Source organism: Homo sapiens, chromosome 5 (genome assembly GCF_000001405.40).
Source record: "Homo sapiens chromosome 5, GRCh38.p14 Primary Assembly".
In the NCBI taxonomy this organism is placed as follows: Eukaryota; Metazoa; Chordata; class Mammalia; order Primates; family Hominidae; genus Homo; species Homo sapiens.
In genome coordinates this window covers 85,290,627-85,311,760 of record NC_000005.10, presented here as the reverse complement: position 1 = coordinate 85,311,760, position 21,134 = coordinate 85,290,627, and the positions used below count along the sequence as shown (strand labels likewise).

At 31.9% G+C, this 21,134-nt stretch overlaps 1 long non-coding RNA gene across 1 annotated transcript; it reads left to right on the top strand.

Annotated features, from left to right (window-relative positions):
- LOC101929321 (uncharacterized) lies at nucleotides 7,572-20,412 on the top strand. Its single transcript, XR_002956252.1, has 3 exons — nucleotides 7,572-7,675; nucleotides 16,497-16,587; nucleotides 20,218-20,412. It is a non-coding gene; the product is annotated as an uncharacterized LOC101929321 (long non-coding RNA).
- Nucleotides 20,413-21,134: the final 722 nt, after the last annotated feature.

The following is a 21,134-nucleotide window of genomic DNA, read 5'->3' as shown; positions in this document are numbered from 1 at the left end:
GCTGGTTGTGGCAGGACGGGCAGCTCCAGGTGCTGGCACGGGCGTTGACTCCCTGTGAGGCTGTGGCTGGACCAGGCGTCCTGCAAGCAGCTTTGACAGCTGGCACTGGGGAACATCATGGCGCCAGGAAGCTTAGCCAATATACATTTAATATTTGAGCAATATATGTTTAATATTTGAACATTTAAGCATACATTTACTATTGAGCATCTGTCAATACTTAGCCAACATACAGTTAATATTTGAGCTTTTCATTGTATGTAAAGTTTACATAAAGAGATAAATACTATGAATTAGCTTTGAAGATCAGTAAATGATACATATGCTGAAGTTTTTATGGAAACTCACTTGCCCCCATATTTTACTTTGAATTGCAAGAAAAAATATTAGAAAAATTTGTGGTGCATTTGAGAATGAATAGATTGATAGATTTTTTTTTTTTTTTTTTGAGATGGAATCTCGCTTTGTCACCCAGGCTGGAGTGCAATAGCATGATCTTAGCTCACTGCAACCTCTGCCTCCCAGGTTCAAACAATTCTTCTGCCTTAGCATCCCGAGTAGCTGGGATTACAAGCATGCGCCACCACACCTGGCTAAATTTTTTTTTGTTTTTGTTTTTTGTAGAGATGTATGTTGCCCAGTCTGGTCTTGAACTCCTGAGCTCAGGCGATCCACACTCCTCAGCCTCCCACAGTGCTGGGATTACAAGCGTGAGCCACTGTGCCTGGCCAATAGTTTAAATATAATCATTTCTGTAAGATTTGTCCACTGGATCTAATGCTATTTCATTAATGACCATCATCTAAGTATTCTTTTAATCAGTCATTCAGATGCAGTATAAGTAGTATGATAATATACCCTTATTCTACCAGGACTGTCTTAGATATCTATGCCTGTTGTTCTGAAATAAATATATAATTAATTATTCACACTTAATACTCTAAAAAAATTCCCAGGTGAAAATATAAACTACATTGTCACCCTAAGTATAATTTAAAATTGCTACTTTGCCTCCCTATCAAAATTGACATAACTTTCCCTGGATGAGTAAAACAGCTTAGTGATCTAGCCATTTCAGAAGGCATAAGGTTGAAATTTATTGCCCATTTGGACTTGTTTTTCTGAGACAAACTATACACAGAACTCCCCAGCAGCAGTGTCTCTTATTGGCATACTAAGTTTTCACCAGTAGCAGCAGTCTATGAGTGCATCCTTCTCTAAATTCTTTGATATAGGGGTATATGGCATATTCATTCCATCCATGCCTGTAATATCATCAGAAAGGGAATGTTCATTAGCAAAACAAAATTATGATCACATACATATCTACTCGCCAAAATTACATTTGCACCACAAATTACATGTGGACCCTGTGCTTAATTCAATTCTATTGTTACAGTAGAATTTGCCATATAGTTTTCTTTTCGGCTAGAATATTTTTCTTCTCAAGATAGCTCCATTTTTTGTCATTTAAAGAATAGTTTAAACTTTAAAAATACAGCCATTATGTTTATATTAAGAAGTGAGAGTGTCTGATGGGAAAACTGGGACAAATTAAGTTATTCCAACAAGAAAGGGCAGTGTTATGGAGGTGCTGAAACTGGAAAGGTTCAGGTCTTATTCCTAAAGATAGCGTGGAGTATATGAAAGATAACAGTATAAGAATATAACAGGCAAGTGTTTGGTCAAAAGGATCCAACTGGAGGTAGTGATTAATCTCAACAATCAAAGCTCACAGATTTCAAAGTCCAACCTGTGGCATCACAAAAATCTAAAATCAGATGGATGATTTCTTACCATAGAAATAGTAGAAGAAAGACCTAGAATCTAGGAAAAGGAGAATCAGTGGAGTGAATGTATTGTCGAGTCCCTTAAAACAAATAGGGATCACTTATGGGGCAACTAATTGGCTAGCTAATTGGGGGCATAATCTTGATGATAAGATTAATACCTCATTTCAGCACCAAAGCTTTCTTCACCTTTGCAATCCTGACTCTTCATAATAAGATAGAAGCCTAGTTGTCAGCGGTGAACCTTCTTAAAACATGGCTTTCATCATGCAACAGTTTTTCTTCTAAAGGCATAAACACAGAAATGAACAAATAAAGCTTTAAAAGCCTTTTAGCTACTAATTCACCAGCCTAAACTTGTCGCTTGGTTTTTAGACAAAAATACTCCCTAACCTCATCGTCTTCATTTTACCCTGATTTCTAATGTGTTCATTCATGAGGGTCTCCACACTGCCCCATAAACTGCCATTCAATGACCATCACATCATTATCAAGAATGCTTTTCTCTCCATTGTTATCTCTATCATATACCATTTAAATCTCACCTCTGTCTCATTTATTCCCATGAAAATATAAATGCTGTAATCTTTGTTGATCCCTATCCTTCTAAACTCACACAGAATATATAAATAAATATTAAACAAAGTATATCAGAATATTTTGTATTTTTTATTAAAAGTGTTTTATACTTCATGCTTTTAGTTTTGCCCTTCCTCTGGAAGCATAAAGTTCTTGGAACACAGGATTCATATCTTGTTTTGTTACTTATATATATTTGTATTATCTGTCAATGTTCTGAGAACACACTGTGTGTTGCTACAAAAGATCATGCTGACTTTCTCAAGCAGTTTGTAATCTTATTTTATGGATATATGGCGGGCCCTGGAAAGCTAAGCTTTTAGGGTCAGAGGTAGCACTGATGACTAGCATAGTTCAAAAAAATTTTTATTAAGATATACCTGATTTAATATGCTTCTCCAAACCATATGTTTTCCTTCCATATTTCTGGGTATAAACCCCAAGCAAAGCCAGCTGAACCTGCTTATGTCTCATTTAGCCAAAACCGATCACATCACTTCACCTTAGTCTCTCACATCACCTTCGTTGAATAGTCTTGTTATAAGCCATCTCTGGTTTTATGAGTTGGGCATCTCTAGACTGGTAGTTTTCGATAGAATGTGTAGGTTCTGTGCAACGTAAAGTTATAGAATCAAGTTAACTACTTGATTAAGTAGTTAACAAAAAGTTTTTGGTCTAGTTTTATTCTTGAAGGGCAATAGGATTTTTCCTTTCATGCACTAAAAATCATAACAAAATCCACATTTTCTTCTCTTACTCTCTTATCATCCTACCTATAATTGACAAGAACTACATTATTCTAATTTAATCCCTGCAAATGTTTGTCAACTAACTTCTGGGCCCCTCACACTCACATTATATTTAAAGCATGTAGCAAGATTGTATTTATTGTATTTGGAAATTTCCTCTCCTTCTTCCCATGTACTTCTTTACAAAGATACATGTACATACACACTTCTCAAACATAGCATTTGAACTCAGTTAATCATACCAAAAAGTGTGGGATTTAGGATAAACTAAATATAGTCCCTTTTGTGATAAAATGCAGTATTAGAAGAACCCAAACCAAGGGTTTGTTAGTTTATGGTCATTGCATATCATTACTTCCTAGAATAACTTAACTTGGAGTCCAAAAGAGATAATATTTGCTGAAATTTTTTCAGTTGAGACTTAACGAATTTTAGTTCAATGTTCATAAGTCTAAATATACTCTAAACGCTTAGTGTTATAAAGTTGTCTGGTCTAGAAAATGTTTGACAATATGCCTGTTTTCTCCATCCCTACACGACAAACATTTACCTGTTTATTTTGTGCAGAATAATGTAAGTTTAACCTAATTATAGGACTTGCACAGACAAGCAGGAATTTTAGGAACTGCTATGAATAATTCTAAAATAATCATTTTACCATGATTCTGAAAAATCAAATAATATACTTTATCAATTTTGCAATCCAAATGTTTTCACACTTCATCAGAAACATGAATGTGTCCTATATTTTACAGCTTGTTTGGTTTTAATTGATGACGTTGGTGTTTGTTCCCTTTATTTTTAACACTATGTACAATAATGATATTAATCAGAACCAATGGCAACTTAAATTTGAGAATGATACATTATAAAAATCGGAAAGAAAGATTACTAATATATGTAATACATGGTCTTCATGTAGTAAATATTTCATAAGTAATGCCAATATATTTTGGCAAAAGGAGAAATAATTATCATAAGCAGGAATGGCTTGGAAATGTTTTTGATATCTGCTGCTGAAAATAATCACCAGAAATAGTAAAACAAAATAGTTTTTTTAAAAATCAGTAAACCAAGAAAATAGGATATAATGTAGTGTATAAACAACTCTGGGATACTTGTATACAAGATGCGTTATATAGAATAGATGAAAGCTATTACCTTCATTACCTTCTCTATGAATACACAGATGATGTGATGTTTCAGAACCATTAATCTATCACCTCTAATGGGCATTAAATCCCAGTTTGGCTAACAAACATCTATGTTACAACCATCGAAAATTAATACACCATGGACTGTTTATCCTCTCAATGGCATATCATAAGTGAGAAAAGCTTTTGGCATATTTTTCATCTTTGGAGACTGTTCTCTTGAAATTTCTCGCATGAATCAGAATTGTAGCCCATTTAGCCTAGAAGCTTGAAATAAGTGGCAGTATATAACATCCTTCTTTGTCATTTTTGTAGTTATAGTTTCCATCTCTGTGTTTATAATAAATGAGTTAGATTTGTTAAGTAAGTTGGTGATCAGATTGGGAATTTGTGTCTCCTAGCACTTACATTCTATTTCATATAAAATTTTCAGTAAAAAACACTGAAGTAAAAAAAAAAATCCATACATCATGATTGTTTTTTTTTTTTTTTTTCTTTTTTTTTGAGACAGAGTCTCGCTCTGTCGCCCAGGCTGGAGTGCAGTGGCGGGATCTCGGCTCACTGCAAGCTCCGCCTCCCGGGTTCACGCCATTCTCCTGCCTCAGCCTCCCAAGTAGCTGGGACTACAGGCGCCCACCACTACGCCCGGCTAATTTTTTGTATTTTTAGTAGAGACGGGGTTTCACCGTTTTAGCCGGGATGGTCTCGATCTCCTGACCTCGTGATCCGCCCGCCTCGGCCTCCCAAAGTGCTGGGATTACAGGCGTGAGCCACCGCGCCCGGCCATCATGATTGTTAATGAACTTGTGAACATGCCTTTAAAAACAGGAATTTTAGTGGTGTCAAGTCATGGCTATGTGCCACTAACATGCCAGATTTGGACATGTCACAGATGATAGCAAATGGTTTCTCACTTTTATATTATATTATTTAAAATAAATAATGACACAAAACTTACTCTTCTGTGATGGCAAACGTGAACAGGGTGCTTAGTATATGCCAGGTGCTATTTCAAACACTTAACAATTATTTAATCTTCAAATAATTATGTGAAGTACATAAAACAAAGGGCACTAATCCCCACCCAGCTTGGTTTACATAAAAGAAAATAAATCGCAGAAAAATTCAGTAACTTTCCCAAGGTATCACAGCATACGAGTGAAGGATTCAGACTTTCAGATCCTGAATCTGTATTTTCACTGAATATTCTCTATGTTCTTACTAGGTATAGTAATGTACTCTTTCTAGAGGGTTTCTTAGGTAAAACTCCAAATTATGAAGATATCCATTAATTATTGGCAAGGTATAAATATACCAAGCCTATTTAACATATAAAATGACATATGTTACTATCCAGAGCCGGTTAGTTATAGAACTGCTTTCTTTAAAATATTGTTTTCAAAATATATGCTCTTAGAGCATCTTTTTTGTACATAGATTTTGCAATTCTGTGACTGCTGATTTAAAGTCTCAGCAAGTGAAAATGCAACGCATTACTAGATATTCTCAGGCAGCAGACCTCTAAGCATATGCTACAGCTCACTCAGCTCACACATCATTCTGTGTGAAATACGTATATTTGGTATTATGTGGTGTACTCTGGCCACTCCTCTTGCTATTAATGTTATGTTCTGAGAATATTTATAATCTATTATAACTGACAGATAATGCCCAACTGATATTAAAGACTTGGTGATAAAATGCAAAATTTAGTAGCATAAAGCAGCTTTGGGGATGGGAAAAATATCCTTATTTCAAATGCAAATATTTTCATTATTTGAAAATAATGAAAAAGTATTTTTCTTTAAAATATTTTATTTCTAATAAGCTTATACTCAATAATAACATAAGTCTGAAGCAACCTAATGGGTCCAATTAGGATCCAATTTGTAATTAAACTGGTTCCAAAAGTTTGAAGAAAAGTTGGAAGGTCTGCATTTTTGGAAGAGAGACACAATGGAAATAATATGTCAGTGAAATGGAATAGAGTGTGAAAATGAAAATGTCCCCTTTTATGGGAAACTGTGATGATAGAAATAAATTGTAAGACTCTTGACTTCAAGTCCATGAAGTGACATTATATATTCGTGTTCATAAACTCAGTGTGTGTTACACTGTGGGCATTTTCATGTTGTGAATTATTTGTGTTAAAATTAATTTCAAGTCACACATTTATTCTGCCATAATTCACTTTGGTAATAGTAATTTCTTATCCCTCATTCTTTTGCACTGTTACCCATTTGCCCATTTTCGGAACTACTAAATTATCTGTTCTTTTATGTATGATGTCTAAACCTGCCTTTACTATTTATCCATATTAATACAATTTGTGAAGCTTCATTAAGTGTTAATATTTTGAGGTTAAATGAAAACACTTTGAGTAGCATACTCTTAAATGCTATAAAAGAAGTAGGTAAGAGCACCAAGACCAGGACTGAAGGAATACATGGAAAGGAATAAGAATATTTTTGTCTATATCTTCAAAATAAGTGTTATGAATTATTTGATTTCTCCATCCTTGGTACCAACCTGTTTTCCTTCTTTACCTTTTGGCTTTTATGTGATTTACAGATTATGATAAGACAGGTATTTCTCAATGGAGTTACAACTATATTACATATCATTGTAAACGCATAATTCTATTATTACCAATAATAGTCATACTTTGAAGCAGAAGTATGGTACCATATTCAAGAAAGGCATATTTGATGTTTGGTGTTTAATACTGTCTTAATGCTGCTCTATCACCATAATCTGATATTGTGCAATGCAACTGGAAAAAATACTGTCAGGCAGATAAGAAAATATGATATATTTTTAAGTGATGACATAGTTCATCACTTTTGCTGTACGTGGAAGGAAAGAATCCTATTTCTTACTAGAATATAAAGGATATCAATTACAAAGTCATCTTGGAGGACATTTCTATGAATCTTTAATGTAGCTACTACAAAAACTCAAAATATTTGATTACATAAAAATGAATATATTTAAGTGCCTAAACTCACAATTCAGATTTCCAAGTAAAATGTAGGATGTCATTTAAAAACATATATTTCTTTTTTAAAAAAATCTGAAAGGAAAAAAATAGTCCACTTATGTCTCTATAGAATTAAAATACATGTAGAGTCAGACTAGCTCAATTTGTATCCTGACTCTGTCATCAAGTTTCTATATGACAAAGCAAATCCCTTAACGTGGCATATATGAAGCAATCATATGATTTTGTGTTAATATTGTAAACATAAATAATATTATGACTACTGATATAATTTGTTTTATTTTTCAGTTGTGAAAATATTTTGTCATATAAATAACATGAAAATTCTAAACAAGACAGTGATGCTAACGATTAATTGTCAGAGTCTTTTTAAGATAAGAGTATCAGTTTGGGAATATAAAGGTGAGTACTGGAAAGATTAATTGAAGGTTTTTAATATTTATAAGTAACATTTTATGCCCTTCAAGGATATATACGTATGCAGGAGAATATATTAAGCATATAAAAGTGGCAGAGATCTATAACTCTATGCATTTCATGGGTATATACGTATGTAGTTCAATAGATTATAGTGTCCGGAGACTAGAAAAGGAGAAAAATGAGTGTGGAGTATTGGATGCATTAATTATTATTTTATACCATTAGTGGAGACCACAAACTTTTTTCTTTGATCTTGAAAATATATGTACAGAGAGATATCGTCTAGGACTGTGTTTTTTCCAGAGTATAAGAATTAAGCCTATTATTATGTTTTTGATAATATAGAAGATTTTAGAAGGTAATTTGATGATTGTAAATTGCAATGATTGATACATTTTCTCAAAGATAATTGCTTCTTACATATTTTTAAGGTGATATAAAATAAATTTATAATAATTTTTGATATCAGTCATTGTGGGATTAGACTTAGTAGTTGGGATTAGACTTATTCTTCTGCTGTAAAGAAATGAAAAATTGTGCAAAATATTGGAAAGAAGTGTTTTCAGCACAGAGAGGTGATTCTTGAGAACAAGGAAGCTCATAAGCCAAGCTTCAGTTTCCCAGCATTTAGCTTGACAAAATTTCCATAATTCTGTGTATAAATGGGGCCCAAATAGAGATTGGCAGTCTCATTTGGTACAGAAAAATAAGTTTAACTTTAGAATTATGTAGAAGGTCGAAACTTGCAGAGGCAGGTCTTAGAATCTCGATTACTGAGTGTAAAAAAAAAAATGGTGAAGTACCGACTAATCCAGAGTACCGAAATTTTATTGAATATCCTGGATATAAAGGTAACACCCAAATTCAGACTCCAAAAACTTCATGTCTTAGGAGTAATGACGCCAACTCAGACTAAATCAAAGCATTTACTGAAGCAAGGTGGAGCCTGGGCCGCATAGCAAGACCCTGTCTCTACAAAAAAATAAAAATAAAAAATTATTTTATTTTTTATGTTGGCTTACACTTGTAGTCCTAGCTACTCAGGAGTCTGAGATGGGAGAATCACTTAAGTCCAGGAGTTTGAGGTTGCAGTGAACTATGATTGTGCCACTGCACTCCAGCCTGGAGAAGCAAGGAAGGAAGGTGATCTGGTAATTTAACTGTCTAAACAGAATTTAAGACTCTTTAAAAGAATATAAAATTTTGGGAGGCCAAGGCAGGCGGATCACCTGAGGTCAGGAGTTCTAGATCAGCCTGTCCAACATGGTGAAGCCCCATTTCTACTAAAAATATAAAAATTAGCTGAATGTGGTAGTGTGCACCTGTAATCCCAGCTACTCGGAAGGCTAAGGTAGAAGATTTGTTTGAACCCAGGAGGCAAATGTTGCAGTGAGCCGAGATCACGCCACTGCACTCCAGCTTGGGAGACAGAGAGAAGCCCTGTGAAAAAAAAAAAAGAAAAAAGATAAAATAATCTAGAGTCTCTACACAATTTAGTATAATTTAAAAAATAATCCAATTAACATGTGAAGAAGCAGGAAAGTGAAAAATGTAGCAATAGAAAAAAACTCAATTGAATCAGAACAACATATAACAAAAGTAATGGATTTAGAAATGAGGTCTTATAAGTATAAGAAAGCATAAGATCAGTAGAATACATGTATAGGTAAATATAGGGAGAGAATAAGAAACTTGATAAGTGAACTAACACACATATACATATATAAAATATAAAATGTGAATGAATGCACACATATATGTTGCATAATTCCTTGGAGGAATTCAAGTCAACAAACTTTTCGAGACATATGGGACAAATTTAAGATTTTAATATATCACATTTTTTGTCACAGGAAAATAAGTCAAAAATAACAAGCAGCATAATCATTTGAAGAAACAAAGACTAATATTTTCCCAATTTTTCCAAATCTGATGAATAACAGAAACTCAAAGATCCAAGAACCTTAGCAAATCACTGACAGACTATTTACAAGGAAGATGAAATATAACACATCATAATAACATTTTAGCAAGCTAAAGATGAAAATAAAGTGATAAAATCTAGAAGACAAAGAAATGCCACCTTTAAAGTACTAAACAAAAAAGCCCTATCAATGTATATTTCTATATCCAGCCTAAAATTTCATCAAAAAATAAGGTGAAAAATGACTGTCCTAGACAACTTAAAGTTGAGATAGTTTGTCTTCAGCCCTAAAAACTTAAAGTATAATAAAAAATATATATATAAAAAGAAACATTAAAGGAAGTTTTCAGGTTGAATAAATAATATTCCAATGGGAATTTGACACTTAAAAATAAAGAAAGAACACTAAATGTAATAAACATATTGTTAAGTATTCAAGATTATTATTAGGTATTCATTTATATAGTCATTTTATCTTTAAGTCAAAAAGGACATAATTTATGGTGAGGTTCATAACACACATATGAGTAAAGCAAATGACCACGTTAACACAGTGAGATGGTGGCAGATAAGTGGTATATGCTAAGTTAAGTTTCTTCATACATCTGGTGATGAAATATCAATTTAATATATAATTTAATAACATTCTAAACCCTAGATCAATCACTAAAATAAAAATCCAATAAAAAATAAAATTAAATTCTAAAATATGCTCAAATAACCCAAATGAAGGCCAAAAAAGTAAAAAAAAATAAGAGGGAACAAGTGAAGAAAAAATAAAACAAGTATCAAGATAGCAAAGTTAAACCCAACCATATTAAGTATCTTAGGCAAATAGTCTAAACACTCAGTTTAACAGAAATTTTTTTCAGACGTGTTTTTTCAAACAAATCAACAACTTTCCAGTTATAGGCTAACTCTAAGCAATGTTTTAGATATAAAGACCCAGTTTTAAAATAAAAAGATTTTGAAGCATGCAAATTGTAATCATAAAAAAGTAATAATGTTTTGTTAACATTATCAAAGTAAACGTAAAGACATGGATTATTCCTGCCACTAAAGACAGCATTTTTTATGATGATAAAAATATAAATAAATCAGAAAGACATAAGCTCATAAATGTATGAAACCTCATAGTATAGCTTTAAAATACACAACTGAAAAATAATTGAAATATCTAATAAAAATATATAGAACTTCACAATCATATTTAAAGATTTTAGACACTTCTGTTAGATCTTGAAAGATTAGATACACAAAACAAAATAAAATGAAACTTAGTAGGGATATGGAAGATTGAAATAGCTCTTTTAATGAACTGGACCAAAATGATTACTTACAAACACTATACAAAAATGCAGAATCCACATTCTTCTCAAATACACATGGAATATTTACCAAATTGGATCACATTCTGTTTCATTCAACAGTTGTTAATAAATTGCAAATGGCAAAAATCACAGCGTGTATTTTGGACCATAAAATACTGAATTATAAATAAATGAAAACATATATAGAAAATGGCCAAATATTTGGAAATTAATCAGCATGCCTGCTAATAAATCATGGAATGCAAGAGAAATAACAATCATACTAGGAAATACTTTAACAAAACCATAATACAGACAAACTTGCAGAATTTGATAATGTTAAAACATGTTAAAAAATTAACTCACTAAGCTTTTAGCACTAAAGCGTAAAGAAGAAAGGAAACATTAAAGCTAATAACATGAAAGAAAGAGATATATAAAACAATAATAATAGAGACAGACATTAGAAGTCAACTAATTTAAATTATATTTATTTAAAAGGATTCCTTAAATATATAAATGTATACATTACTGCTTAAAAAACCTCAGATTTTTAGCACTAGAAATGAAACACAATCTTGTAAGAGAACTATTTACAGTATAAGGGTTTTAAAGACATATATAGAGCAACTTTATGTTGATAACTTGAACAACTTCATGTATATAGACAAATTCCTTGATATCAAAAATTACAAAAACTGCTCTAAAAGAAAAGATAAATATGAATAATACTGTATTAAATAATGCAGTTAAATTTATAATCTAAAATCTTACCACAATGAGTGTTTCAATAGTAAAGCAGTCACTGGTGAGTTCCACAATATATTTAAGAAAGAAGCAGTACCAATTTTCAATACTTTTTCATAGAATAAAGGGAAAGAGAATATATTCAACCAATTTGATGAAGCCAATATAAACTGGTAATCAAACATTGATAAGGCCATTATGACAAGACTACAGAGCAGCAACACTCATAAACATAGTTGCAAACATCCTTCAAGAAATACTAGTCAATTATATCTGGCATTAATAATAAAAGGTAATCCATCATGATTATGTGGGATTTATTCCAGAAATACAAGGATTGCTTAACATTGAAACATCAAGAAATAGATAATTCATCTTATTATAAAACTTAAAATATTTATTTGATCACTTAAGTAGATATAGAGAAAGCATTTGATGTTATTCAACAATTATTCATGGCAAAATTCTCAACAAACGATCAACACAAAGAAACTCTCAATATGAAAAATTGTATTCATGAAAAACTCATAGCTACTATCACATTTAAGAGTGAAATATCGAGTTTAATCCCCTAAAATTAGGGGCAAGGGCAAAGTTACCTACTCTTACCACTTCTAATCAATATTGTACTGAAGATCCTACTCAGTACAATAATATAAGAAAAAGTATTTGAGATATAAGAATTAAGGAAAAAGAAGTAAAATTATACTTATTTTCAAATACTATACTTAGAAAATCCAAAGGAATATAAAAAAAAAACCTGCTAGAACTAGCACCTAAATCCAGGGATGTCATGGAAAACAAGATAAATTCACCAAAATCAATTATATATGTACATGTCAGGAACATACATACTGAAAAATGAATTAAGAAAAAATACAATTTACAATAATGTAAACAAGCATCACACAGCTAAGAATGAATTTAATTACACACATGTGTGACCACTACATTCAAAATTACAAAACATTCTGAAAAAATTAAGACCTTAAAATAGAAATGTACAATGTTAATGTTTGCAAAATATTATTATATAACATTTTCTCTGGGAACTGATCTATTGTTTTGATGCAATTCCCAGTCCAAATACCCACAGGGCTTTTTCCTTTGCGCAAATCAACGAATAGGTTGATTGTAATATTCTTTTGGGGGTAACATAATTATGTACAGAGCAACTCCAAAACATAATCAGGTACATTATTAGAATTAGAAAATATGCTTATAAAAGTGCTGGGGACAAAGTAAATGTATAAAAATCAATTGTATAGCATAAAAATATCTAGTGATAAATATAGAAATAGGTGAAAAAGTTACCTACTTTTGAGTCAGAATTTTCTGACTCAAGAAAGAAAAACCAAAATTGAATAAAGCAGTTAAGGGAAAACAATGTACAAGACAATTCTGAAAACTTGGCTATATTACTCTATTAGATACTAAAAGTTAGCAAGAAACTGTACTAAATAAGACTACATATTTCTTATAGGAATAATTAATCAAATAGGAAAGAACAGCAAGGAACAGACCCTCATATATAAATAGAAGTTGTAACACAAAAGTGCTACTGCATAGTATTATAGAAAGAAGAGTCTTCAATAAATGGCTCTGGTAATTTTGCACTCAAAACAAATACATTTGATTTATTTCTCTCACCACATGCATATACAAAAAATATTTATAGAGAGAAGTATATCCAAATGTGAGAAACAAGACTATGCAGCTTCTAGAAACTAGCAAAGAAAACTATTTTCTGATATTGAAATAAACAATAATTTATTATTAAACAAAGCAAAAATGGATGTAGTATAATGAACACACCAACACACTTGCTTTTATTTCAATATTCATCAAAAGTCACTTTCGAGAGAGTAAAAGTGTATGACCTACATTGAAAGAAAATATTTTCATTATCTTCCCCTAAAAAAGCAAAGGGCTAATTTTAAAAACCTTCTTACACATCACTAATTAAAATACAGACAACAAAATTATTTGAACAAAACTTTATAAAAATAATATGCAATACCAAATATATTTATGAAGAGTTTCAATACCACCAGTCTTCAGGAAAATGCAAATTAAATCTGCGATAACATAATATCATATATCCAATGACAATAACATGTTGGTGAGAATATGGAGCAATGAGAACTTCTAGTTGTTACTGGGAATATAAATTCATAAAACTACTTTATAAAACTGGTTAGTATAATCTTGTAACATTCAACATAAACATATTATGAAATCCAATATTTTAATATCTAGGTTTATGTTACCAACAAAATGAGTGTGCCTTTGCACCAAAAAGTATATATTTTCACAGCAGCATAATTTGTAATGGCCTTAAGTTTGAAAGACCTTAAACTTCTATTAGCATTACATTTACACGATGCCATACAGCAATAAAGAAAAGGTATTTATTACAGGTATACAAAAACATTAATTGAATCTCAAAAACATAAAATTGAGCCAGAGACCCACACTTCAAAGAAAAGAAATAAAAACACAAACAGTGAGATTCCATTTTAATACATTTCAAAATATGGGCAAAACTTAAATAGTTCAACATCTAAATGACAGTTAACTTTAGGAAGGAGAGATTGGTTTTTAATTTCATCAGTGATTTCATTGATTTGTTTCATCACCTGAGTAGCAGTTTCATGAGAGTATTTATTTTGTTAAAAATCATTAAAATTCATGGTGAAAGTTAGTCCATTTTCTCAATGTGGCTTAAAATTCCATTACAAAGAAAAATAAATTAATTTTATTTTAATAAGTTGGTGTTATTTATTGTTTCTTGTTAAATCTTAGTTCTTGCAGAAAAATTTGATCATCTAATATTTATTGAGTAACTATTGCAGTGGTGTAAGAGGACAGAGGCAATGAGAGAGATCTGTCCTGGCTGTTAAGAACATTTTTGTTCTAAAATTTTCTACAAAAAAGCAAGCTTCATGTGTTCTCACTTATTGGTGGTAGCTAAAAGTTAGAACAATTGAACTCATGGAGATAGAGAGTAGAAGGATGGTTACTAGAGCCTGGGAAGAATAAGGGGAGGTGTGGGAGGAAAATGGGTCAGTTAATAGGTACAAAAAGTAATTAGAAAGAATGAATATGACCTAGCATTTGGTAGCATAACAGGGTGACTGCAGCCAATCATAATTTAATTATACATTTTAAAATAAAAGTCTATAATTGGATTGTAACACAAAGGATAGATGCTTAAAGGGATAGATACTCAGTTTACCATGATGTTACTATTACACATTGCATGCATGTATCAAAATATCTCATGTACCCTACACATACATACACCTATTATGATACCCACAAAAATTGAAAATTAAAAATTAGTAAAAAGGCTACTGGGAGAATTAGAAAAATAATCAATCAATCAATCAATCAAATTTTTGACAGATCATTTCATCTTGGCTCCATTTTCACCACTAGGAAACAATATACTCATTGCACACCTATGTATTTCACATTTATCAACACATTTGGCTCACAAAAATTGTTGCCTATAATATTAAGACACATACAATACACCAGAGTTACAAAGCATCCCCAGGATCTGAGTAAGCACTATTTGATTTCAAATGATCATTTCTTGCTCTACCTTTTGTTATCAAAGAATATTTGCATTATTTCCACTTTCATGTTCATTTAAATTTAAAATTTCAAACACATTATTTTCGTTCTCCTCCCTCAGTTCACTTTACAAACATTTTATAGGCATTTACTCTTCGCCAGATTTTGTCTAGTTATAGGAAATGAAAACATAAAAAGGATATTATTGTTTGGAAGAGAAGCTTATAGTCTAATAAAAGTGGCATAGTAGAAAAGAAAGTGACAACAATTGGTCATTTAAGTTTAATACATATAAATGTTAATTTTTATAGTCAGTTGAATTTACTTTTTAAATGATTTCTTCTTCATTATTATTCTCTCTACTTTCCACTCTTTCTTCCTGTCCACTCTCCGAAAGGCTAAATTCACTTAAATGTGAATTATTCCTCTTAAAGTGTATTTCTGATTATGCTTTTCGCTCTTTTATTTTTATTTTTTCCTCCTCAAGGACCTTCAGGTTATCCCTTCTCTTGGCGAATATAGGCTGAACAGTGCAGTTTGGCATGCTTGGCATTGAAGTTCATCAAATTATTTTTTCAGCAAAATCTTTCAGCACTTATACAATATATACTGAATCAAATATTAGCTCTTTGTTAGTCCAGCATATTCAGCTTTCTTGTTTTTTCTGTTAAACCATACTATTAGTACCAGGCACTAAATCACTATTAATTATTGTAGTTCTCAAATATTTGTCAGGCCCCTTTTTCATACTGGATGCTTAATAAATGATTTCACGAAAATAATGTACTGTGTAATTACAAACAGTTCATCAGGAAAATAGGGCAGAAGTGCAAAAATAAGACTATAACTTTCTTGCAAAATATGTAATAATTTTTCAATTAAACTTCTAAATGTCTTATGGTAATAGGTACAATACACTTTTACGTTAGACAGACACTACAGCAACTATGGGAATCTCAACTTTGAAATAGTATGGGACACTTCAAATTAAATATTTCTCATATGTACTAGAGATATTAGCTTTCTTTTTTTTTGTGAAAACTGGATATACATCAGATGTAATTGATGTGAAATAGAGATGTGGATAGACGGGATGATTCTTCAGAAAAATATCAAAGTCAGTGCTATCCTTTGCAAAGTCATCCTGAGCATGCATTTTTCTCTGAATCTTTAATTGGAGAAATGGGCTATAAAACAGAATGAATTAGCAGCACCAATTAAGTCCCCTTTTTTCTTTTAGAAGTGTGTTGTTGTCATAAAAGTGGTGACTAAGAAAGTAAATTCCGTTACTGAAGAATGCCCACCAAGAATAAAGAATTGGATGCAAAGCAGTAAGAGTTCATTTGTTTTTGTAATTCTGTTATTATTAACCTATTATTTTTTCTTCTGAGCCCAAGCTTGATACTGTATCTGAAGCACTGGGATGGTTTAGTAATTTAAAATGTAAAACTTAATAGAATAATACTTTGCTGCAACCTTTAATTATATTTTTACATTGAGACTTGGTCGATATTTGTGTTTATTTTCTTAACTTCAAACATAATTGACAATCTTCACAAATGTCACCTTTCTAAAGAAAGGGTCAACATTTAGCAGTGCATTACTAGATTTTTCACACATATTCATTATTTTGTGGTCTTTAAGTATTTAATGTTGAATAAGAAATTCAAGCTTTACTTCTACATGCCCACATGTCGGATAGTTAATAAATATGTTTTTCATTTGAATTCATTAAATTTGTCTGAAGTTTCAGAAACTACTAATACTTGTTATAAAATAAGTGATATAATTTAGTCAAAATGCTGAGTTATTTTTGAGTATTGAGAAGGATGTCAAATGTTAAATGGCATATTTTTCTTCTAATAACACCATCCTGGCTTGGCTGACCAAGTGAAGGGGAATAAATACAAATTAATTTAGAGGTCACACTACATATCATTAGAATCTGTATAATTTTTGTTTATCTTCAGTATTAAAAGAGGATTTTCAAGCTTTCAGTAGTACGTCATCAAGTATTTTATTTAAATTTTTAAAATTAACAGATACTTTTACATATTTGAAAAAAAATTTTCATTAAATTTAAAATTTTGGCTCTAATGCCTACTTGATAATAAATTATAGAGAAGCCTAAGGAAAAGTCAATTAATTATTCATAATTCAGCCATCCATATATTTGTGTATATATATATATGCATTATGCCTTTATCCACCAATCATTTTAAGAGTATTCTAGTATTAACACAAACTCTTTGAAACCATCAGTCTTTATTGCTCATAATGTCTGATTGCATTTATATACATACATATATACATAAAACTTCTCCAGTTATATTTACATGTTTATATATACCACTACAATATACATACACTATATATACAACACATACATATATTAACCTTTTTAAAAATCTACTCTTATCTGTTAAGACATACTAATTTAAAGCCAGTTTAAAAATCTAGCCTATGGCAAGTTTTTATGTCTGATTTGCTTGCTTATTGAATTTAATTGGTCATGTTATTATGCATAAATTCATTTTCAAATACTTATTAATTACCTACTGTGTTCCAGATTTATATTAGTAAATTTTTCTCGTCTAATTGCTAGGAAGTAGCAAAGTATAATGCATGTTACTGACCCACTCCTCACAGTAGGAGCCATAAATGGAGTCCCATATAGTAAGGTCTAAATATGTAAAGTTTTAACTGAAGATGTAAGTATCACCCATCCCTTTTCCCAGCTGTGGATCCCACTTTTAGTTCCCTTTACACCTTAACTGTACAACCCAGAGGCTCTCCAAAAGCCATATTTCACCTTACAGCAGGTCTGGTGCTTGGAGCCTGAGCATATTTATAACTGGGGTTGGAGAGAGCAAAGCCGGAAGTGGGTTGTCCAGGAATCCTGAACCAGGATGGAAACTGACCTCGTCACACTCTTCAGAGAGCTGAGCAGGCTGTTTCTCTATCCCGTGGAATAATCTTATCTGTTCTGAATTTCCAGGCAGGTAAGGTCTTTCCAATTAAGACCACTTAAGTCAAGGAAAGACAGAAAACTCAGCTATCTGTTTGGTTACACATTTTAACTGATTTGGGTGGCCAGCTTAAAACGAAAGCAGCCAAATTTCCTACAGCCACGCTTTTCTACTTCCCTGCCATCAACACACTCATACACTCACTCACACACTTGTGAACTCTTAGATTCACATTCATTTAACAGGAGGACCTGGTTTAGCTCACACATTCCATTCTTGTATTTAGTTTGTACTCAAATTAATCATTAAGTTTAGCGGAGCCGGAGTTTCTCCTTGTACAGGTCTAAGAGGATATTTTAATGTTACTGTTGAAAGTAAAAATAGTCATACAGGATTAATTTTAAAACAGAATTTCATTGTACCTTTAGAGTCAGAAGAACTGAGGTTTGCTCTTGCTTCTGTTATCTGGTATGGAATAACAGCCCGTACATACATGCGTATTACAGATTTCTTATCATGTTCATAATGTTTAATACCTAGTTCTATAATTATCCGAGTTATATAAACTATAGTTAACCATGTATCTTCAAAGCATAATACTAATCTTATTGATACTATTATATATTCTGAAACAGCAAAATATGTGCAAAAACTTTTGGCTTAAATAGGATCAGAATCCTCTGCTTCTGATCTTTTTGATATATGAGTTGTCAAGGAGACAGTACTTTGGAGGATGCTGGAAAATACATGGCAATATTATAGTTTAGAAGACAAAACCTTAGGAAGTGTTTCCCTCTCTTAGTCAAAGACATGACTGAAACCTATAAAAATATCTATTGATAGGGAAGGCACGGTGGCTTACGTCTATAATCCCAGCACTTTGGGAGGCCAAGGTGTGCGGATCACGAGGTCAAGGGATCCAGACCTTCTTTGCCAATATGGTAAAACTGAAACCCTGTCTCTACTAAAAATACAAAAATTAGCTGGGCGTGGTGGCACACGCCTGTAGTCCCAGCTACTCGGGAGGCTGAAGCAGGACAATCGCTTGAACCCAGGAGGCGGAGGTTGCAGTGAGCCCAGGTTGTGCCACTCCAGCCTGGCGACAGAGTGAGATTCCATCTCAAAAAAAAAAAAAAAATCTATTGACATACTTTCAGTGCACAACAATTCTCCTAAAACTTTTAATGACAAAAATAGATAGACATTGGGCTGCCTAAAAAAAGAGATCTATTTTAAGACAGAATTAGAATTAATTCTGTAGATATTTCATGTAGCAATGAGAACTGACCTGGTCTAAGAATGGCTTGGCAAAGTGACAATGAATATAGTATCTGAAGGATAAGTTGGTCAAGTAGAGGTAAAAGGAGAAAGATTATCCTATGCAGGAACACCTTAAAAAGTCCAGAGTTAGGATAATGGGTGCAATATCCAAGGAAAATAAGTTTTCATATAGGATGGCTCAGTTATGTTTTAGAATCCCAACTTTTAATTTGCTCAGACATTTATAAATCTCTTTTTAAATTTTCTATCTTAAATTGAACCTAATTTTGACAACTGTGCTTATACTCCCCTGTGGACTTCACATTTATTATGCAGATACCTATCTAGATGAGTTTGACATATATTCTATTTTTTATGAGATCCTGAGTTTAAATTACCTGTATTGAGTGATATACCCCTATAGGACAAGAATGTCTGGGATCACTAAACCACTGTAAGTGATTGAGTGATGGCTTTGCTTAAATGTCAGTACACCCATACTGGCTACTGCTATTACCCTTAGGGTATTGTTGCTTTCCTCTTGCCTGTCTACATCCTAACAGAGGTCTTGTTTCCTTTTTTTTTTTTCTTCTTTTTCCCTCAACACTTTTTGAAAGTTAATATGCAATTTGTTTTATTATGGGAATTGGTACTCAGTCACCAGCCTGCTTACTCATTACATTTTCCATCTCTCTCTTTGCTGATTTTTTATATACCTTGCTATTTTTGCAGCCTCCAGTGAAATGCAGAAATAAAAAGATAATTAAGTGTTCATGATCACTTTCCTTTGGAATCATAGAACTATGCAACCTTATTTTTCAACTACAGTGGATGAATGACAAACTGAAATAAAAACCAATGATTTATATTAAGCCAGGTGGGTATTTTGTGATCCTAGTCATGTAGGAAAACATTGATAAACAGTGAAAATGTGACTTGACCCATTTTTTTCTATTATGTTTGTCCATAACTTGATAGTATGATCCTTTCCTTTTATTATGTTTTATGTAAGTATAGAAGAACACCACAAAGCATAAGCCGGAATTTGCATATATGACAGAGATGTAAAGACATTGGGAAACCTGGCAACTAAAGTTTAAATAGTTAAAAGTGTAACATATATAACATTATTAGAGACAAGGCAAAGCTATCATAGCCAAGATGAATCAAATATATACATATATAATGTATATATGTATATATAATATATATAATGTATATATATGGTTCTTTTCTTTCATTATTATGTATTCATTATAAACATTTCAGCTTTTGGAAAGGTTTTTAATTTAATACTAAAACAGGTTTTATTCATTTTTTCCAAATCAATCATATTTTGCCTTTTTTCCCCTAATGGTCCTTTATATAGTTCAGGCAAAAAAAAAAAAAATAGCTATCTTGACTCTGCAGCTTTGGTATTATTGACCTTGTCAAATATAAGAAGGATGACAGAACAGAACACACATTTTTCAGTGGTATAAGCTGATTATATTCAGTCAAGTCGACATTTAAGGATCATTTCTAATCACATTTAGAATTGAATCTCATGCTACTCTTGGTAAATCCTTTCTGAACCTTATAGCCTTTTGAACTTAAAAAGGAACTGTCCGATACTTGAGAAAAATGCTTGCCAATTAGGAAAAATGGAC